Source organism: Homo sapiens, chromosome 18 (genome assembly GCF_000001405.40).
Source record: "Homo sapiens chromosome 18, GRCh38.p14 Primary Assembly".
In the NCBI taxonomy this organism is placed as follows: Eukaryota; Metazoa; Chordata; class Mammalia; order Primates; family Hominidae; genus Homo; species Homo sapiens.
In genome coordinates, this window is record NC_000018.10 from 49,409,093 (window position 1) to 49,432,961 (window position 23,869).

The 23,869-nt window shown below is 38.9% G+C and overlaps 1 protein-coding gene across 41 annotated transcripts in view; it reads right to left on the minus strand.

Moving 5' to 3' along the window:
* Window positions 1-23,869, minus strand: part of DYM (dymeclin) — a 424,259-nt gene that overhangs the window by 372,706 nt on the left and 27,684 nt on the right. For all 41 annotated transcript variants that reach the window (NM_001374439.1, XM_047437559.1, XM_047437553.1 and 38 more), the window contains one exon: window positions 21,163-21,355. In NM_001374439.1, the coding sequence (NP_001361368.1) occupies window positions 21,163-21,302 (140 nt within the window). In that variant the 5' untranslated portion in view covers window positions 21,303-21,355. The remainder of the gene's footprint in view (window positions 1-21,162; window positions 21,356-23,869) is intronic.

The window sequence follows — 23,869 nt, forward strand, 5'->3', positions numbered from 1 at the left end:
TGCCAACATAGCGAAACCCCGTCTCTACTAAAAATACAAAAATTAGCCGAGCATGGTGGCTCACACTTGTAGTCCCAGCTACTCAGGAGGCTGAGGCAGGAGAATCACTTGAACCTGGGAGGTGGAGGTTGCAGTGAGCCGAGATTGCACCACTGCACTCTAGTCTGGGTGACAGAGTGAGACTCTGTCTCAAAAAAAAAAAAAAAAGAAAAAAAAGAAAAAAACTTAGCAAATATTAAATAAAAAATTCTGGATTATATTTGTTCATTATAAAGACACATGATTGACTATATTGCTGCTTAAGCAGAAAATGCTTCCAAATGTCATGAGCCACAATTCAGGAGGTGATGGAAGAGAAACAACCATGGCCTTGATGGTAGATCTGCTCTCCACCACAACTCAGGGGAGACCCCACCACAGCTCATGAATGATGGAATAAAAAGACCAGAGCTTGGTGTTAAAGCATGTATCCCTTCATTCATCAACAGAGTACCACTGTTGGATGTCAATTAGTTTTCCCATCCTGGCAAATTAATAAGGAAAAAATATTTGTTGGTAGGGAAAAAAAGCCTCTTTCATATGAAGCCTGTAGTTCAAGAATTCAAGTTTCCACAATAAAAATAAATATATAACATGGACCATCTAATAAACTAAATACCTAGTCCTGATAATTGTCACATATGAAAATATGCAAGAGGTATTTACAATATGTTGGTCAATTGGTGTAGCAGGTCAGGCAGGCTACAGTTTGCAAGTGAAATACTCACAACTGGGGTCAACAGAAGCAGCACACTTAAGCTAACTCAGCTGATGTTCTGTGACTTAGGTCGTGGAGCCTATACGTAGTACCTAAAGAAACGATTTGTGCCTCTTTAGTGGTTTCTATCATCCAACACTTTTTTCCTTTGTCATCTCAATCTGCTTTTCTACTAACTCATCTGTCTCTTTCTTCTTCATCTGAACACTTTGGATTTTGTGTGTGTGTGTTTTAGAGACAGGGTCTCGATGCATTCCCAAGGCTGGATTACAGTGTCATGATCCCAGCTCACTGCCGCTTAGAACTCCTGGGCTCAAGCAATCCTCCCACCTCAGCCTCCCGAGTAGCCAAGACTACAGGTGTGTGCCACCATGCCCAGCAAATTTTTTTTTGTAGCAATGGAGTCTCATTATGTTGCCCAGGCTAGTCTAGAACTCCTGGCCTCAAACAATCCTCCTGCCTTGACCCCCAAAGTACTGGGATTACAGGCATAAGCCACAGTACCCAGTCACTGGATTTTTAAGTATTATAAGAGGTACCAATGGACACTGCCAGGCCATGGTGTTGGTCCTCAGGGATTAAGGTTAAAAAAAAATAAGAAGTTGAATAATATATACTCTTAGAAGAAAAGCTTACCAATTGGTTGTATAATAACACCACAACCTCAAAAAAAAAAAAAGTCTTATTATATACATTTAGCAGACTTCACTGATCTGAAATTTACTAATTCAGGATTGGGGGCTGTTTGTCTAAAATTGAGTTGAAGCCTGGACAACATAGTGAGACCTTTTCTCTACCAAAAAAAAAAAAAAAATTAGCTGGGCATGGTAGAGTGCCTGTAGTCCCAGCTGCTCCTTGAGCCCTGGAGGTGGAGGCTGCAATGAGCTGCCCTCCAGCCTGGCCAATACAGCAAAACCCTGTCTCAAAAAAATTAAAATTAAAATTAAAATTAAACAAATTGAGTTGAAACTGACTTTTGTGTTATACTTTAAAGAAATCATTTTGACAAGGGAGAGGGGATTTAGAAAAAGTATTATTTAACCTTCTACAAAAGAAATGTGTTTAAAGATGTTAGCATATTATTGTCCATATGCAAATAAATTTGCTGAAATAACTTGCATTTTGTACAGGCCTATATACACTATTCAAAGTTCTTTCACCTTTATTATTTCATTTGATTTCTTTTAAAAACCCTGAGAAGTTGACCGAGGAAATGGGAGTATCCTCACTTTACAAGTGACAGAAATAGAGAAGCAGAGTAACTTGTCCAATGTCACGGTATAAGAATAAACATATTTAACTTCCAGATTAATACTCTTTCAATATGAATAATATTAAATGAGATACTCTTAAGGCAAACCCACATAATATCAACCTAGAAACACTCCAGCAACTAGTTGGAATTTCTATATATTCCTAAAAGAAGTTGTGTCACACATAAATTATTATAAAAAGTATATCTACATTATAATTCCAATCATGCAAAAATTATGTGAATTATAAAGAATTGGAAGAAAACAAAATTTTAAATCTAATAAGGAAAATGGTAAGATGATAGACGACTTTCTTGTAACTGCTATGAAATCATAAACTATAGTGTGGTCGGGAAGCTAAAATTTTAAATTAAGTATTCCCTACTTCACAGTTTTCTGTAATTTAGACTGGTTTTATTTTACTTTTAGGCACACCGTTCTCATATATGAATCTCAATAATGAAAAGTGAGAAATTAATAGCTCAAATATTTTTAAGAAAAGCAGATAGGCAAAAAAATTGTTGGGGGAGAAGTTATAACAGACCTCTGAACACAGGTTTGCTGAACAATCAAACTGTAAGTTTCATAACATAAACACTGAAAATCCTTAGTCCCTTCAGCTGAAAGTTCCGCCATAAAATTCTTTCAAAACTGACATTTTATATTAATGATGTCAATTTCAGCCAACAACATACAAATTCTGATAAATATATAATGTTAGTCAAAGATATAACCTGAAAAAATCAACAAGTAACGATTCAGGAAAGGACAGAAGCACTTCTGAAGACATTTTCCCCCTTACCTTAGCAAAGAGAATTACAGAAATCATTCACAAAACTAACAAGAATCAGCCAATTCAGTGGTTAAACTGTGGGAAGGTTAATGTTTTAAGAGGACCTATTAATAGGAAAAAGTCAAAGGACAAAAACTGCATATAAATTATAGCAATTTTTAACGCACCCATGCAGAACCAAAAAGGTGTTTACATTCATGTGATTCACAGACAATCGTATATGCTGTCATTCAACTGCCAAAATGAAAGGAAATATAACTATTAAAATGTCAAAATGTCAGCAACTACTATGCTAGATAATACGGTGTTTATTTTCCCAAGAAAGAGAAAAACATTGACTTAAAAAAAAAAAAAAAAAAATTCCAACCAACACAGTGAGAAAGAAGAGGAATCAAGGGTGCACCTGCAGTAAAACTTACATGTCCCTTTACTTTAATGCTTTAAAGGATATATTTCCCCCATTTAAGCTTTTAGTTTAAGGGACTGATTAATCCTGGGAAAACTTAAGCATCTTCTAAAATGATTTTTGCATAGAAAGGTATAAATGAAAGAATGGGAAATAAAGGTTTTGACTCAAGATGTAAAAACTGAACTTCTTGTGGTCCCTCAATTTGAAAAATATAATAAGATGCCAAGAAAAGTCTCAAATTATTTATTCCCTGAGTAAAACAGCCTAGTACATTATTTTGGTCACCAACCAAGCAAACCTACAAAGAAAAAGTTAAAACAGAATTTAGAAGATGGTTTAGCAGCGATCCCAGGCCCACCTCTACAACAGAGCAGATTTTTCAACTTGAAAAGTTCTAATAAAATTGAACATAAAGTGTGCCAAAGAGCCTAAAAATATAGAAACAGAGACAGGCATCAAAGATTCAAAGAAGAAAGTAATTTTACAATCACTTGCTTCTGTCAGTTAAAAACGTGACCTAATTAAACAAAAGTCTCTCTTCCTGTGTGTCAACTGAGGAAACAGACTAAGAAACTTTGACAAAGGATCATTCAGGCAGCTCTGCTTAAAAAGAGAGAAGATACACTCTACTCAAGGCAAGGTGAAAATACTAAACAGATTACCCATCAGCTTGTGTGATCACTGTAAATGATGGCACTCAAGATTCCTCTGATTATGATCTGCAGCTTTGAAAAATGCTTGAAAATGTGAACATATAATCTGGTGGTTCTACTCTCAAAGATTACCATACGATTTAATGCTGCAGCTCTTTAGTACTTACATGAAACTGGGTCTCAGATTAGCCTGTGCTTCCCAAGGAGACAGTGTGGCATGATGGTCAACGGAATTCCTCTCTGGACTTAGACAAATAAACCTGGTTTAAATTAAATCTGGTCCTTACTTGCTACTCACTGTGTGGCTTTAGACAACCTTCCTAGGCCTCAGTTCTCTCACACGTGGGAATAATAGACTTGAATAACAATAACAGAACTAAAAAAATGGAGGTGTCTACAGCAATGGGTCCAGCATCTGACAAACAGTGAGCTCAATAAATAACTGGTAAAGTAACAATGATGCTTACGTTAGCGAATCCTTTTAGCAGAATTATATTATCATTATATCATTTTATCATTCTATTTTATCATTTATCTCAGTAGAATTAAATTTTTTATCATGTAAGAAAAATCCCTGAAAGAAAAGTCAAAGTGACAAGTGGAAACTAACAATGCTAAAGAGAAATGGAAGCCCTTTAAAAGGATAAGAGTACAGCAAACTGAAGTTTAGAAAACATTATATGATGTGGTATATAACTACAATGGGTAATTAGTCAGACTTAAGGAAGGAAATTACATCATGGATTATGAACTTTGAAGGCATTATACTAGGCCAGGCACAGTGGCTCAAGCCTATAATCCCAGCACTTTGGGAGGCCAAGGCAGGCAGATCACTTGAGGTCAGGAGTTCAAGACTAGCCTGGCCAACATGGTGAAACCCCGTCTCCACTAAAAAATACAAAAATTAGCGGGCATGGTGGTGCACACTTGTAATCCCAACTACTTGGGAGGCTGAGGCGGGAGGACAACTTGAACCCAGGAGGCGGAGGTTACATTGAGCCAAAATCACGCCACTGCACTCCAGCCTGGACAACAGAGAGAGACTCTGTCTCAAAAAAGAAAGAAAGAAAGAAAGAAAGCATTATGCTACATGAAATAAGCCAGTCACAAAAAGACAAATATTGTATGATTCCACTTATATGACAATACCCAGAGTAGTCAAATTCATAGAGACAGAAAGTAAAAATAGAGGTGACCAGAAACTGGAGGGAGAGGATGGGAAGTTATTGTTTAATAGGTATAGCATTTCTATCTGAGGTGATGAAAATATTCTGGAAAGGGATGGTGGGGATGGTTGCACAACCCTGTGAATGTACTTTAAACTGTACAATTAAAAATGGTTGAAAAGGTTACAAGAGTCAAGAGGACCAGACGAAAAAACAATAATTTAAAAAATGGTTGAAAAGGTAAATTTTATGTTTATTTTACCACAATAAAAAAAACATGAATAAAATCTTTCCATATTATAGGATAGTTAGTAAATTATAGCAGACTAGACTCAATTCCCAAATAGTGATAATGAAACAGGCTCATCTCTGGAATACCATACAACTTATAAGATCTTTCACACAGCCAAGTCCTTATGTTATTTGTTTCGTGTTGGCTGTTCTGCTACACGGGCCTTTTGCTGCTCTTCTAACAAGCAGAACTTACTTCCACTTCAGCCTCTTTACACTCGCTGCCCCTCTACCTGGAATACTCTCCACAAAACATGCATGGCTCACTCCCTGGCATCATAATGTCTCTGCTCAAATGCTGCTTTCCCAGAGACTCTCTGGCTAAAGAAATCTCCTAAAGCTATTGCTCTCCATCACCTCACTCCGCTTCGCTTTTCTTCCTTACACTTGACACTTCCAGAAATGACTTAACATATTTATTTGTTCACTTGTTTATCGCTCATCTCCTCTAGTAACATATAAACTGCATGAGAGCAGGGACTTTGTCACTCATGTTTTTAGTCCTTAAAAACAGTCCCTAGCAACTAGAAGACATTCCATAACTATTTTTTTAGGTATATTAATCAAAAAAATACTTCCTTTTTTTTTGATGTGGAGTTTCTTTCTGTCTCCCAGGCTGGAGTACAGTGGCATGACCTCAGCTCACTGAAACCTCTGTTTCCAGGGCTCAAGCGATTCTCCTGCTTCAACCTGAAGTCAGGAGTTTGAGACCAGCCAGGCCAACATGGCAAAACCCTGTCTCTACCAAAAATACAAAAATTAGCCGAGCATGGCACACACCTGTAGTCCCAGCTACTCAGGAGCCTGAGGCAGAAGAATTGCTTGAACCCAGGAGGTGGAGGTTGCAGTAAGCTGAGATCACACCACTGCACTACAGTCTGGGAGACAGAGTGAGACTGGGTCTCTCAAAAAAAAAAAAAAAAAAAAATTAAAAAAATTTTAAAAATGAGAGAGAATTAAAACGATATACACCATAATGTTAACAAGTTACTCTTGGTTGTTATTATTTTTATCTTTTTTTTTTTTTGCCTTCCTGGTGCTTTTCTGTATTTAAAGTATTAAAAATGAACATGCATTACTTTGGTACTTAGAAAAATTAGTTTTAAGTGACTGTGCCAAGAGCTGCCCTTTTTGCCTTATATGAGCACCATCTAGTGCTCAGTACACATAATACAATTTCTGTAACACAGTAAAGTTTTCTGAAAAGTAGCCTTTATAAAAAGTAGGGTGTGGCTGGGCATGGTGGCTCATGCCTGTAATCCCAGCACTTTTGGAGGCTGATGTGGGTGGATTGCTTGAGGCCAGGAGTTCGAGACCAGCCTGACCAACATGGTGAAACCCTGTCTCTACTAAAAATATAAAACTAGCCAGGCATGGTGGCATGTGCCTGTAATCCCAGCTACTTGGGAGGGTGAGGCAGGAGAATCACTTGAACCTGGGAGGCAGAGGCTGCAGTGAGCCAAGGTCGTGCCACTGTACTCCAGCCTGGGCAACAAGAGCGAAACTCTGACTCAAAAAAAAAAAAAAAAGGTAGATTGCTTATACACAAAGATGACTATTACTATAATCACTGTCTGGCTTAATTTTTAAAACAGCAGAACAATTAGTTCAAAAGAGGCACAGGACTTTCAATCATCAAGATAAAGCGGTCATCAGAAAATTGGTTAAATTTCTGCTGCTTATTTTCATTCCTCAAATATTTTAGACTAACTCTCAAGACAGAGTCCTAGGTCTTTGTAAACTAATAGGTAATTACTCCTTGAAAGAAGAGCAAAGTCAGACACTTTACATGCATGATAGTGTTTCATCATCCCTATGAATCTACATGGTAGGGGTTATTATTTCCATTTTACAAAAGCAACAACAGGTTCAGTGAGATTAAGCAGCTTTCCTGAATTCACAAACTAGTCAGTTGTGGAGCTCAGGCAAGGTCAGTTTGGCTCCAAAATCCATGTTCCCCCTGCCATGCTACATGGTCTCCATTCTTCACACTTCACCCAAAGTCACTGCACCTTTTAGCAAAACAATTCCTCTGGAGAAGAGTATTCAGGCTGCTGCTATACTGCTCAGAGCTGCTCTCAAATCTGGAACTCTAAGCTCATTAAGTATTAACACTCAAATCAGGTGTTAATTTAAAACAAAAGAACTTTTTAAAGATATTATTCTCTATACTGCTGTTAGCTGGTTACACACACTTACTGAGATGTAGGACTTTCCATTTCCTACACAGTAATAGAAATTCAGACCTTCAGCACATCACAGGTATATTGCTGCAGATGTCTCAGATTTTGTTTTCCTGCCCTAGTTTTTCTTCCTGCACTTTCCACCTACTCACCCTACTTAAAAAAATAATGTCTCTGAAACAATGTTTTCTCCAAATCCACTCAACAAGAGCCTACAAGGGACCCTACTTCTAATCCTCAGCTTTCTAACAAGTGTGCCAAAAATAGGTAACAGGTGGACATATTTTTATTTCCCAGTTCAGCCTTTCATAGTTAGAGCCCCTACACCCTTCAGAGCCCCAGACCACTCTAGACCCAAGCAGCCTTATCAATTTACCCTGAAGCATCATGAACTATGTTGGGAAGCAATTTCTACATTCCCAACCTATTACACTTGATTCCCATTCCTCTCAACACAAACTGGAAGCATTACTAGAAGTCATCTGGCCACGTTTCCTTTATAGTACAAGAAGTCACTTCTACCCATATGTATAAGGTGGTAGCGGTGGTGTTGGTGGTGGTGTTGTTTGAGACAGGGTCTTGTTCTGTTGCCCAGGCTGGCGAAAGCATTGGCCTGACCATAGTCACTACAACCTTGAACTCCTGGGCTCAAGGAATCCTCCTGACTCAGCCTCCCAAGTAGTTGGGACTACAAGCATAAGCCACCGAGCTCAGCTAATTTTTTTATTTTTTGTAGAGATGGGGGTCTCGCCATGTTGCCCAGGCTGGTCTCAAACTCTTAGTCTCAAAAGATCCTCCTGCCTCAGCCTCTCAAAATGCTGGGAATACAGGGATGAACCACCGTTCCCAGCTTGTATAAGGCTATTCACTGCTACATTATATGTAATAACAAAACACTGGAAGCAATCCAAATGGTAAAACCCAAATGGTAAATCCAATTAATTTTGGTATATATGCCCCCCCATTAAAAAGAGTGAGGAAGTTAATATATAGAAGGCTCTTCAAGATATAACTGATGAAAAAAAGCACAAAGTGAAAAAGTGTGTATAATATACATGCTATTATTTATCAAAAAAAGAGAAGGGATATATGTGCATATTTGTTTGCATATGCATAAAATGCAATTCTTCTATAACACCCTTTATCATATTTCACCATACTTGTTTGCTGATTTACAGATAAGATTATAAGCTCTGGCTGGGCGTGTAATCTCAGCACTTTGGGAGGCCGAGGCAAGCGAATCACCTGAGGTCGAGAGTTCAAGACCAGCCTGACCAACATGGAGAAACCCCATCTCTACCAAAAATACAAAATTAACCGGGCATGGTGGCACATGCCTGTAATCCCAGCTACTGGGGAGGCTGAGGCAGGAGAATCACTTAATCCCGGGAGGCAGAGGTTGTGGTGAGCCGAGATCATGCCATTGCACTCCAGCCTGGGCAACAAGAGTGAAACTCTGTCTGAAAAAAAAAAAAAAAAAAAGATTATAAGCCTTTAAGGACAAGAGACATCATATATCCAGCTAACTATTATAGCCTGAGAAACAAATAAATGAATAACAGTTTGATACTCAGAGATAAGTCATCTGGTCCAGCAGTTCTCAATGATAAGCATGACACACGATTATGTTCACACACACCATAGCCTCAGATGCCTATGAACCAAAAAATAATAAGTACAGGTCTGTTTTTCATTTTTGTTGCTATTATGTAGTTTAGAAACATGTATAAAATCAGTCATATAAGTAGTTTAAAATATTTAGGAAAAAAACAGTGTATATTATTAACCTTTAGTCTTTAATTATTCTTCATTTTGTTTCAGATCTTTGCTGCACAACTAATTTTAACAGGGTGAAAAAATAAAAACTATTAAATAATTTAAGAAAGATTTTAGAACCACACCTGGAAACTCTTACAAAATCTGATTACTCTGATGCTAAAAACAGTTAATAGTAAGGAAGGATTAGATTCGTCCTAAAGGCCTTATTAGTATTTCTAAAAATTGCAGCAAACATCGATTTTTGGCTACAAAAATGGACTTTACTTGAAGACGGCACATATGTATCTAACGAATTCCAAGAGTGAACAATCTCAGAATTATCTAGATTCAGAGTCTCCTCTACTGAGATTCATCTTAGCCCTGAATAATTCATGAACTAGGTAATTTTGGCCCCTGACTCTGTCAACAAGGGGGCACCTGCTACCTCAAAGCCTACTCAGTCCCAAGGTCAAATATCAAATACCATCAGTGAGGAGCAGGGCAGTGCCAAAGAGAAAGTGACAGACCAAAAGTATATGCAACACCACAAATGAAACCTCTATCATGTAAACTCACTTGTGGCGGTGGGGGTGGGAAGAAACCTTTATAAATATACTCTCACAGATTTACAATGCAGTTTATTTACTTTACAGTTTTTTCACTTTCTAAGATCCCTTTATACGTTTCTCTTAAATCACCTGGGTGATTTAAGAAAAGAGAATGGTGGCCAGGCGCAGTGGCTCACGCCTGTAATACCAGCACTTTGGGAGGTCAAGGCAGGTGGATCAGGAGGTCAGGAGTTCAAGACCAGCCTGGCCAAGATGATGAAACTCCACCTCTACTAAACTACAAAAATTAGCCAGGCGTGATGGCAGGCACCTGTAATCCCAGCTACTCGGAAGCCTGAGGCAGGGAATTGCTTGAACCTGGGAGGCGGAGGTCGCAGTGAGCTGAGATTGCACCACTGCACTCCAGCCTGGGCGACAGAGCAAGACTCTGTCTCAAAAATTAAAAAAATAAAATAAAATAAAATAAAATTTGAGTAAAAATAATAATTAACAAAACAAACTATAAAGCCATAATAACTTAAACTGTGAGGCACTGGCACAGGTCGACAAAAATGGCTAACAAATTATTCCCGTCACTATTTTTTAAGAAGTTCATCTTTTTCCCCACTGAAATGCCAGCTCCACATAAATCAAGTACATACACATACATTTATTCTTATTCTTAAGTATTTTAGTTATTCTTGTTCATTATACTTTTTCATACACATTTCAGAATAAACTTATCAAGATCCCCCAATCTTCCAAAACAAGGCTTTCAGAATTTTAATTCAAATTGTCTTCAATCTATAGGTCAATTTGAAAAGAAGTGACATTTTTACAATAGTCTCCTTATTCCTTAAACATGGTACATATCTCTATTTAGTTAAGTCTACTTTAGTATATTTCAATGTAAAAACCATATACTATAATTTGGAATAGCTTTATAAATTACTTTAGAATTTACATAAGTGAAAAGAAAAATTATTTTGGACAATAAATCATGCTCTCCATTTCGCCCTCTTTTCCTCTAAGTCGTATCACTATCACATGAGCAGCAGTACTCAGTGATAATTCTGCAAGGATTAAGGAAATGATTTCAAAAGTTGTTGATGCTATAGCTCATCCCCAGTATGACCTTTCTCACCAATCCACAGCCACCTTTAATTTTCCAAGGATCTCAGAAGCAAGAATAAGTAACCACTTCAATATAAAATACATCTAATCCAAGCCATCAGATTAATTATAAACTAAGTTAAAATTCGTTTTTTTTTTTTTTTTTTTGAGATGGAGTCTTGCTCTTGTCGCCCAGGCTGGAGTGCAATGGCGCGATCTCAGCTCCCCACAAGCTCTGCCGCGCGGGTTCAAGTGACTCTCCTGCTTCAGCCTCCCGAGTAGCTGGGATTACAGGCGCCCGCCACCACGCCTGGCTAATTTTTTGTATTTTTAGTAGAGATAGGGTTTCACCACGTTGACCAGGCTGGTCTTGAACTGCTGAATTCAGGTGATCCACCTGCCTCGGTCTCCCAAGGTGTTTGGATTACAGGCAAGAGCCACCACACCTGGCTTAAACTAAGGTAAACTTCTAAGGCCCAATCCAATTGTATACAATAAAGTTAAAAATTAAAATTTGGGGGGAGGTTCCAAGATGGCTGAATAGAAACAACTCCAGTCTACAGCTCCCAGCATGAGCAACACAGAAGACGGGTGATTTCTGCATTTCCAACTGAGGTACCTGGTTCATCTCACTGGGGCTTGTCAGACAGTGGGTGCAGGACAGTGGGTGCAGCCTGTGGACCGTGAACCGAAGCAGGGCAAGGCATCACCTCACCAGGGAAGTGCAAGGAATTCCCTTTCCTAGCCAAGGGAAGCCGTGACAGACAGCACCTGGAAAATCAGGTCACTCCCACCCTAATACTGCCCTTTTCCAACAATCTTAGCAAACGGCACATCAGGAGATTATATCCCACGCCTGGCTCGGAGGGTCCCACACCCACGGAGCCTTGCTCACTGCTAGCACAGCAGTCTGAGATCAAACTACAAGGTGGCAGCGAGGCTGGGGGAGGGGCACCTGCCATTGCTGAGGCTTGAGTACCTAAACAAAGCAGCCGGGAAGCCCAAACCGCAGCTCAAGGAGAACTGCCTGCCTCTGTAGACTCCACCAATGGGGGCAGGGCACAGCTGAACAAAAGGCAGCAGAAAGTTCTGCAGACTTAAATGTCCATGTCTGACAGCTTTGAAGAGAGTAGTGGTTCTCCCAGCACGGAGTTTGAGATCTGAGAATGGACAGACTGCCTCCTCAAGTGGGTCCCTGACCCCTGAGTAGCCTAACTGGGAGGCACCTCCCAGTAGGGGCCGACTGACACCTCATACGGCCAGGTGCCCCTCTGAGACGAAGCTTCCAGAGGAACAATCAGGCAGCAACATTTGCTGTTCTGCAATATTTACGGTTCTGCAGCCTCCACTGGTGATACCCAGGCAAACAGCGTCTGGAGTGGACCTCCAGCAAACTCCAACAGACCTGCAGCTGAGGGTCCTGACTGTTAGAAGGAAAACTAACAAACAGAAAGGACATCCACACCAAACCCCATCTGTACGTCACTATCATCAAAGACCAAAGATAGATAAAACCACAAAGATGGGAAGAAACCAGAGCAGAAAAGCTGAAAATTCTAAAAATCAGAGTGCCTCTTCTCCTCCAAAGGAACGCAGCTCCTCGCCAGCAACAGAACAAAGCTGGACGGAGAATGACTTTGACGAGTGGAGAGAAGAAGGCTTCAGAAGATCGGTAATAACAAACTTCTCCGAGCTAAAGGAGGATGTTCGAAACCATCGCGAAGAAGCTAAAAACCTTGAAGAAAGATTAGATGAATGGCTAACTAGAATAAACCGCATAGAGAAGCCCTTAAATGACCTTATGGAGCTGAAAACCATGGCACAAGAACTACGGGACACATGCACAAGCTTCAGTAGCCGATTCAATCAACTGAAAGAAAGGGTATCAGTGATTGAAGATCAAATGAATGAAATGAAGCAAGAAGAGAAGTTTAGAGAAGAAAGAATAAAAAGAAATGAACAAAGCCTCCAAGAAATATGGGGCTATGTGAAAAGACCAAATCTATGTCTGATTGGTGTACCTGAAAGTGACGGGGAGAATGGAACCAAGTTGGAAAACACTCTGCAGGATATTATCCAGGAGAACTTCCCCAACCTAGTAAGGCAGGCCAACATTCAAATTCAGGAAATACAGAGAACACCACAAAGATACTCCTCAAGAAAAGCAACTCCAAGACACATAATTGTCAGATTCAACCAAGTTGAAATGAAGGAAAAAATGTTAAGGGCAGCCAGAGAGAAAGGTTGGGTTACCCACAAAGGGAAGCCCATCAGACTAACAGCGGATCTCTCGGCAGAAACTCTACAAGCCAGAAGAGAGTGGGGGACAATAGTCAACATTCTTAAAGAAAATAATTTTCAACCCAGAATTTCATATCCAGACAAACTAAGCTTCATAAGTGAAGGAGAAATAAAATACAAAAACATGCCAAATTGTAAAGACCATCGAGGCTAGGAAGAAACTGCATCAACTAAAGGGCAAAATAACCAGCTAACATCATAATGACAGGATCAAATTCACACATAACAATATTAACCTTAAATGTAAATGGGCTAAATGCTCCAATTAAAAGACACAGACTGGCAAATTGGATAAACAGTCAAGACCCATCAGTGTGCTGTATTCAGGAAACCCATCTCACGTGCAGAGACACAAATAGGCTCAAAATAAAGGGATGGAGGAAGATATAACAAGCAAACGGAAAACAAAAAACAGCAGGGGTTGCAATCCTAGTCTCTGATAAAACAGACTTTAAACTAACAAAGATCAAAAGAGACAAAGAAGGCCATTACATAATGGTAAAGGGATCAATTCAACAAGAAAAGCTAACTATCCTAAATATATATGCACCCAATACAGGAGCACCCAGATTCATAAAGCAAGTCCTTAGAGACCTACAAAGAGACTTAGACTCCCACACAATAATAATGGGAGACTTTCACACCCCACTGTCAACATTAGACAGATCAAGACAGAAAGTTAACAAGGATATCCAGGAATTGAACTCAGCTCTGCACCAAGTGGACCTAATAGACATCTACAGAACTCTCCACCCCAAATCAACAGAATATACATTCTTTTCAGCACCACATAGCACTTATTCCAAAATTGATCACATAGTTGGAAGTAAAGCACTCCTCAGCAAATGTAAAAGAACAGAAATTATAACAAACTGTCTCTCAGACCACAGTGCAACCAAACTAGAACTCAGGATTAAGAAACTCACTCAAAACCGCTCAACTACATGGAAACTGAACAACCTGCTCCTGAATGACTACTGGGTACATAACAAAAGGAAGGCAGAAATAAAGATGTTCTTTGAAACCAACGAGAACAAAGACACAACATACCAGAATCTCTGGGACACATTTAAAGCAGTGTGTAGAGGGAAATTTATAGCACTAAATGCCCACAAGAGAAAGCAGGAAAGATCTAAAATTGACAACCTAATGTCACAATTAAAAGAACTAGAGAAGCAAGAGCAAACACTTTCAAAAGCTGGCAGAAGGCAAGAAATAACTAAGATCGGAGCAGAACTGAAGGAGATAGAGACACAAAAAACCCTTCAAAAAAATCAGTGAATCCAGGAGCTGGTTTTTTTGAAAAGATCAACAAAATTGATAGACCACTAGCAAGACTAATAAAGAAGAAAAGAGAGAAGAATCAAATAGACGCAATAAAAAATGATAAAGGGGATATCACTACTGATCCCACAGAAATACAAACTACCATCAGAGAATACTATAAACACCTCTATGCAAATAAACTAGAAAATCTAGAAGAAATGGATAAATTCCTGGACACATACACCCTCCCAAGACTAAACCAGGAAGAAGTTGAATCCCTGAATATACCAATAACAGGCTCTGAAATTGAGGCAATAATTAATAGCCTATAAACCAAAAAAAGTCCAGGACCAGATGGATTCACAGCCGAATTCTACCAGAGGTACAAAGAGGAGCTGGTACCATTCCTTCTGAAACTATTCCAATCAATAGAAAAAGAGGGAATCCTCCCTAACTCATTTTATGAGGCCAGCTTCATCCTGATACCAAAGCCTGGCAGAGACACAACCAAAAACGACAATTTTAGACCAATATCCCTGATGAACATCGATGCAAAAATCCTCAATAAAATACTGGCAAACTGAATCCAGCAGCACATCAAAAAGCTTATCCACCATGATCAAGTGGGCTTCATCCCTGGGATGCAAGGCTGGTTCAACATATGCAAATCAATAACCGTAATCCATCATATACACAGAACCAAGGACAAAAACCACATAATTATCTCAATAGATGCAGAAAAGGCCTTTGACAAAATTCAACAGCCCTTCATGCTAAAAACTCTCAATAAATTCGGTGTTGATGGGACATATCTCAAAATAGTAAGAGCTATTTATGACAAACCCTCCACCAATATTGTACTGACTGGCAAAAACTGGAAGCATTCCCTTTGAAAACTGGCACAGGACAGGGATGCCTTCTCTCACCACTCCTGTTCAACATAGTGTTGGAAGTTCTGGCCAGGGCAATCAAGCAGAAGAAAGAAATAAAGGATATTCAATTAGGAAAAGAGGAAGTCAAATTATCTCTGCAGATGATGTGATTGTATATTTAGAAAACTCCATCAACTCAGTCCAAAATCTCCTTAAGCTGATAAGCAACTTCAGCAAAGTCTCAGGATACAAAATCAATGTATAAAAATCACAAGCATTCTTATACACCAATAACAGACAAACAGAGAGCCAAATCATGAGTGAACTCCCATTCACAATTGCTTCAAAGAGAATAAAATACCTAGGAATCCAACTTACAAGGGATGTGAAAGACCTCTTCAAGGAGAATTACAAACCACTGCTCAACGAAATAAAAGAGGACACAAACAAATGGAAGAACATTCCATGCTCATGGATAGGAAGAATCAATATCGTGAAAATGGCCATACTGCCCAAGGTAATTTGTAGATTCAATGCCATCCCCATCAAGCTACCGATGACTTTCTTTACAGAATTGGAAAAAACTACTTTAAAGTTCATGTAGAATCAAAAAAGAGCCCGCATTGCCAAGTCAATCCTAAGGCAAAAGAACAAAGCTGCAGGCATCACACTACCTGACTTCAAACTATACTACAAGGCTACAGTAACCAAAACAGCATGGTACTGGTACCAAAACAGAGATATAGATCAATGGAACAGAACAGAGCCCTCAGAAATAATACCACACATCTGCAACCATCTGATCTTTGACAAACCTGACAAAAACAAGCAATGGGGAAAGGATTCCCTATTTAATAAATGGTGCTGGGAAAACTGGCTAGCCATATGTAGAAAGCTGAAACTGGATCCCTTCCTCACACCTCATACAAAAATTAATTCAAGATGGATTAAAGACTGACATGTTAGACCTAAAACGATAAAAACCCTAGAAGAAAACCTAGGCAATACCATTCAGGACATAGGCATGGGCAAGGACTTCATGTCTAAAACACCAAAAGCAATGGCAACAAAAGCCAAAATTGACAAATGGGATCTAATTCAACTAAAGAGCTTCTGCACAGCAAAAGAAACTACCATCAGAGTGAACAGGCAACCTACAGAATGGGAGAAAATTTTTGCAATCTACCCATCTGACAAAGGGCTAATATCCACAATCTACAAAGAACTTAAACAAATTTACAAGAAAAAATCAAACAACCCCCATCAAAAAGTAGGCAAAGGGTATGAACAGATACTTCTCAAAAGAAGACATTTATGCAGCCAAAAGACACATGAAAAAATGCTCATCATCACTGGCCATCAGAGAAATGCAAATCAAAACCACAATGAAATACCATCTCACACCAGTTAGAATGGCGATCATTAAAAAGTCAGGAAACAACAGGTGCTGGAGAGGATGTGGAGAAATAGGAACACTTTTACACTGTTGGTGGGACTGTAAACTAGTTCAACCATTGTGGAAGTCAGTGTGGCGATTCCTCAGGGATCTAGAACTAGAAATACCATTTGACCCAGAAATCCCATTACTGGGTATATACCCACAGGACCGTAAAGCATGCTGCTATCAAGACACATGCACACATATGTTTATTGTGGCACTATTCACAATAGCAAAGACTTGGAACCAACCTAAATGTCCATCGATGATAGACTGGATTAAGAAAATGTGGCACATATACAGCAGGGAATACTATGTAGCCATAAAAGAGGATGAGTTCACGTCCTCTGTAGGAACATGGATGAAGCTGGAAACCAACATTTTGAGCAAACCATCGCAAGGACAGAAAACCAAACACCACATGCTCTCACTCATAGGTGGGAATTGAACAATGAAAACACTTGGACACAGGGTGGGGAACATCACACACTGGGGCCTGTTGTGGGGTGGGGGGAGGGGGGAGGGATAGCATTAGGAGATATACCTAATGTAAATGACGAGTTAATGGGTGCAGCACATCAACATGGCACACGTATACATATGTAACAAACCTGCATGTTGTGCACGTGTACCCTAGAACTTAAAGTATAATAAAAAATAATAATAAAAAAATTAAAATTTATTGCCAAAAGATATAAACAGTTCACGGAAAAGGAAATACCAATACCCCTTAAACATATGAAAATAAACACAACCTTAATTATTAAAGAAAGGCAAATAAAACCATAAGGACCACTATCCAAAACTTGCTGAACTGGGTATCAAAAAGAAAAACGACTGCTATTAGTCACACTGGAAAACATGTGTGTGTGTGTGTGTGTGTGTGTGTGTGTGTGTGAATTTACCCTCAAGACAGAAATAGGCCCTCTACCTCTGAGGTAAAGGGAAACGGGAAGTATAGACTTCTTTGTCATGATTACACCAACCCCTTCCTGAAAATTGGTAAAGAAAAAAACTGAAGTGCTTACCTTTAATTAGTAATAAATATAGTAAGAACTATATTTTACATAACCTAATTGATGACATAAAGTCCTCTTTACAGAAGAACTCCAGTTATTAAATGTAGAAATGACCAAATTAGAAATATTACCATTTTGTAACCTCTTATAAAACAGGTGATTCAGGCAAAAATCAATACATGCTAAAATACACTCAAAACTCTGATCAATCTTAGCATGATAACTGGTATAAAACATACTTTTTCTACATATGGAATACCTTACCAAAAATGATTAACCTAAATTTTATCAAGCTTTTAAACCTCATTTCCAATTTACGGGAAATATATGGAATAAAAGAACAAGTTACAAGGTGTGAGAAGCAATCAGATAAATACAGAAGATGGAACATTCTACAGAAAAACTGACACAATTTGTTTTAAAAATGACATGAAGGGAAAAAATAGTGGCAAGGGTGGGAAGTGGACACCTATATTCTACATTAGAAGACATTTAAGGACAAGAACCATCAAGTGCAACGTATGCACCTTATTTGGCTCCTAATTGTAATAAACTATTAAAACAACTTTAATTTAAATTTAATTAAAATTTAAATATGGAAAAATTTAAATATGAACTGGGTAGCAGAAATTATTGTTAATTTTGTGAGGTGTGATAATGGTATTATGGTTATGTAAAAAAAAAGACTTTACGATACTTAAAAAACAATAATGAACAAAATATAGAAACAACCCAGTGTCTATTAATTTCTGAATGAACAAAATGTACTATATCCATACAATGGAGTATCACTCAACAATATCCAAATGTCTATTAATTTCTGAATGGACAAACAAAATGCAGTATATCCATACAATGGAGTATCACTCAGCAATAAAAAGGAATGGAGGCTGGGTCCAGTGGCTCATGCTTATAAATCCCAACAGTTTCAGAGGCAGAGGCAGGAGGATCACTTGAGGCCAGGTGTTCGTTCAAGACCAGCCTGGGCAACATGGCAAGACCTTATGTCTACAAAAGATTTTTTAAAAAGCAGCCAGGCATGGCGGTGCATGCCTGTGGTCCCAGCTACTCAGGAAGGTGAAGTGGAAGGATCACTTGAGCCCAGGAGTTCAAGGCTATAGTGAGCTACGATCGCACCACTGCAATCCAGCCTGGGCAACAGAGTGAGACCTTGTCTCAAAAAAAAAAGAAAAAAAGGAATGCAAGTATTGGTGCATGCTACAACATGTATGAATATTACATTCAGTGAAAGAAGCCAGTCACGGCGGGGCGCAGTGGCTCACACTTGTAATCCCAGCACTTTGGGGTGCTGAGGATTTCTTGAGCCCAGGAGTTCAAGACCAGCCTGGGTAACAGAGCAAGACCCCATCTCTAAAAAGGTAGAAGAAAAAAAAAGAAAGAAGCCAGTCACAAAAGACCACCTATTGTTACAATTTCATTTACATGAAACGTCTAGAAGAGGCAAAGTTAGTAGTAGTTATTAAATTAGTGGCTGGACGCAGTGTCTCACGCCTGTAATCCCAGCACTTTGGGAGGCTGAGGAAGGTGAATCACTTGAGGTCAGGGGTTCGAGACCAGCCTGGCCAACATGGTGACATCTCATCTCCACAAAAAATACAAAAATTAGCCATGCATGAAGGCATGCAACCGTTAAGCCCAGTTACTCGGGAGGCTGAGGCCGAAGAATTGCTTGAATCCAGGAGGCAGAGTTTGCAGTGAGCAGAGATCGCGCCACTGAACTCTAGCAGACTGAGACTCCCTCTCAAAAAATAAATAAATAAATAAGTGGTTGCTAGTGCAATCTAGAGTTTGGGGGAGTGTCTGCTAATGGGCATGGGATAGGGCATGGGATGGTTCCTTTCTGGGATGATAATGTTCTAAAATTGGTGATTGTTACACAATTCTGTGAATAAAAACACTGAATAATACACTTTAAATGGGTGAATTACATGATATATGAAACATATCTCAAAAAGTGTATTATTTTTCTATTGCTACTACAAAAGTTATCAAAATTTAGTGGTGTGAACAACATAAATTTATTATCTTACAGTTCTGTAGGTCAGAAGTCTGACACTCAATGAGCTAAGATCAGGATGTCAATAAGGCTGCATCCCTTTCCAAAGGCTCTAGAGGGAAATCTGCATCCTTGCCTCTGCCAGCTTCTAGAAGCTGCTCATATTTCTTGCTCATGACCTCCCTACCATCTTCAAAGCCAGCAAGGGCAGGCTGAGTCCTCCTCACATCACATCTGACTTTCTCTTCTACCTCCCTCTTCCACTTTCAAGAAGCCTTGTGATTACTTTGGGCCTGCCCAGATAATCCAAGATAATCTCCCTGTTTTAAGGTCAGCTGATTAGTAACCTTAATGCCTTTTGCTACTTTAATTCCCCTTTGCCATGTAATGTAACATATTCAGATTCTGCAGACAAGGACATGGACATCTTTGGGGGGCTACTATTCTGCCTATCATAATAAAGCTCTTAAAAAGTAAATAAAAAATTTTTAAATCTAGTTATTGAGTGTATGGGAATTCAATATTCTATTCATTCTTCATTATTATTGTCTGACAGTTTTTGTAATAGAATTAAATATGAGATATTATTTTTCACCTCTGAAACTGGCAGAGGTCAAAGGTCTAAAATGCATCAAACTGACAAAGATATGGGGAAACACACCTCTCATGCATTGCTGGTAGGTATGCAAATTGCTACAACTTCCATGGTGCACAATTTGGCATAGCTACCAAATTGCAAATGCACATACACTTTGACCCAGCAATTCTACTTCAAGGAATTTATACTAAAGATATATTGTGTGTATGAAAAATGATGTATGCGGCAGTAACTGTTACAACAAAGACTGGAAACAATCTAAATGTTCATCAACAGAAAAACCAATTAAATATATTCTACAGATACTCCACAGCCATTAAAAAGAATAAGGAAGTTGCAAATGTGCTACATATACAAGATATATTTTACTTAACTGTGGAAAAAAAGGCAAGGGACAGAACAGTACGTGTAGTATGCTACCATTTGTATTTAAACAATTTTGTGAAACTATATGGGATATATGCTTAAGTAACCTATATTATCTCTAGAACGATTCAAAATAAACTGCTACCAGTGATAACCTCTAGAGAAGGGAGGTGGCTACTGAGTTGGGTAAAAAGAAAAGCTTATTTTCTACTTTCAAATCTTTTGGATTTTCTACTGATCTATGTATGACAGATAGACTAGATAGATAGACAGAACATTTCTAAATTTTTTTTTAATCAGCATACCACACAAGTTGATATGGCCCTCTATTCAAATTTTCAATCTCCAGGCAATCTCTTACCTGCTAGTTGGTGCAGGGAAAGAAAATGAGAGAAGCTGATTCCAGAACGGGTCATTCTCAGAGATAGATTCCGTGCCTGATAACTTTTTCAAGTACTCATTTTTAGGAAGATCGCCGATTCTGCTGCTATTCGATCCCATCTTCTAGCTTAAGCAGATAATTTGTCCTTAAACCTGCATTTCCAAAAGACAACCTATAAAAAATAAAAATAAAAACTTTAAACTTGTTCAAAAGTCATCATGCTTTGTCTACCTATAAAAAAACTATAAACTTACTAAAGAAAATCACACATTTCTGTATTTATAAATATATTAGACATCAGATACAAAGTTACAAGAAATATGGGGCTAGGCCAGGCATGGTGACTCACGCCTGTAATCCCAACACTTTGGGAGGCTGAGGCGGGCAGATCATGAGGTCAAGAGATTGAGACCATCCTGGCCAACACGGTGAAACCCCGTCTCTACTAAAAATACAAAACTTAGCTGGGCGTGGTGGCACGCACCCGTAGTCCCAGCTACTCAAGAGGCTGAGGCAAGAGAATCACATGAACCCAGGAGGCAGAAGTTGCAGTGGGCCAAGATCGCGCCACTGCACTCCAGCCTGGCGACAGAGCAAGACTCCATCTCAAAAAAAAAAAAAAAAGAAATATGGAGCTAACACCTGTCTTAGCCAATACAAACACAAAAATCCGAATCTATATTGTACTTGTACCATGTATCTTAGGATGGGCATAGCTCTACCCAAGAAAATGTCTCAAAGCAAAATCATAATAATGGTAACTTATAATTAGTCTGAAAATGAAGCTGTTTTACAACCAAAACAATGGTGACAAAGAAATACAGAAATCTGGATGGCTTGAATGTACAAGGAAGGGAACATAGCTCAAGTAATTACCATGTGCTACTTCTACTTATGGGGGTCATAGGGACAAACCTGAATTACCAACTTCAAGTGAAAGAGATCCCAATTACAAAGGAATCACATTTAATGTTTCTGTCATTCTGCTGTAGGGCACATATGCAGTTTTAGTTGATATGCCTCTTCCCCTAAACCATGCACATTTTTACGACAGGAATTATCTCATTCATCTGTCTATGCCCACTGTCTAGACTAGCATGTAAAAAATTCCCTAAACAGTATGTTGAAGGAACAAGGGAGTGAATAAATAATTAGTATCCACGAGGCTCTTCAAAAGTCAGTATTGGTTGTTCTCAGTCACTAAGGGAAGAAAACTAGTTACAAATATGAATCACTGTCTCCCTTAAATCACACTTAACATAGATTTAGATCATGTTTTATCTTGATTTGTTCAGAAAAGTTCTCCCATTGAATAATAAAATGGTGATAAGATAAATAATACATTATACTATTTTAAAATTACCATCACAATGAAAGGAAACTACATGGCCTCAGGGACCAAAGGCGGCTCAGGTCAGGTGAGAATGTGTATTAGTGACTCACTTTCTTCCTCATGTCCCTTCTCATTCCACAAAGGCACTGAAGCCACGGTCAGAATTTGGGAGCTGGATTGAGCTGCTTATTCTGAGAGCAAGATGCTTCCCCGATGATGCACATGGACAGCTGGGTCTTCTGAATCTGAGATAGAAATACTGATCTGGCTCCTCATCGCCTGCCCCTAAAGCTGAGGCTAGCCACTACTTTCATCCTTCCTGCAAGGGGACAGGGGCCCCAATAACTCAATTCAACTTCAACTGAATCATAATTCAGCTTCAATTAAGCCTCTATATTAAGACAGCTAATCATAAGGTTTAATTTCTTAAAGTAGGGCTTGTTAAGCCCAATTAGAAAATGCTATAAAAGAAATATCCTGAAGGCCGGGCGCTGTGGCTCACGCCTGTAATCCCAGCACTTTGGGAGGCCAAGGCGGGCAGATCACCTGAGGCGATCTACTCAAAATACAAAATTAGTCTGGCATGGTGGTGCATGCCTGTAATCCCAGCTACTAGGGAGGCTGAGACAGGAGAATCACTTGAACCCAGGAGGCAGAGGTTGCAGTGAGCCAAGATCACACCATTGCACTCCAGCCTGGGCGACAAGAGCAAGACTGTCTCAAAAAAAAAAAAAAAAAAAGAAAGAAAGAAATTCTCTGAAATATATAAATTCCTAACTTACAATAGTATTTTAAGCTATCAAAATTATATGGGGACATAATACACTAGTGAAAATGAATGAAACAGAGCTAAATGGATACATCTCAAAAATATAAAATGTTTAAAAAAAAAAGCAAGCTACCTAATAGATATGGTATGCTTTCATTTATAAGATTTTAAAACTGGCAAAAAATATTATGGATTTATTCATAGCTAGTACCAGCATTAAAATTTTTTTTTTTTTTTTTTTTTTAAGAAACAGGGCCTCACTCTGTTGCTGAGTACAATGCTGGAGTACAGTGGCGTGATTATAGCTCATTGTAACCTCAAACTCCTGGGCTCAAGGGAGCCTCATTGCCTCAGCCTCCTAAGTAGCTGGAACTACAGGTACATGCCACCAAAGCCCAGCTAATATTCTGTTATTTGGTAAAGATGGGGTCTCACTGTGTTGCCCAGGCTGGTCTCGAACTCTTTCTGCCTTGGCTTCAACCACAGTGCTGACATTACAAGCATGAGCTACTGAGCCTGGCCAAGAGGAATTAATTTAACTAGAAATCTATAGCTTTTCAAGCTACCAATTAAGTTTGAAAGTA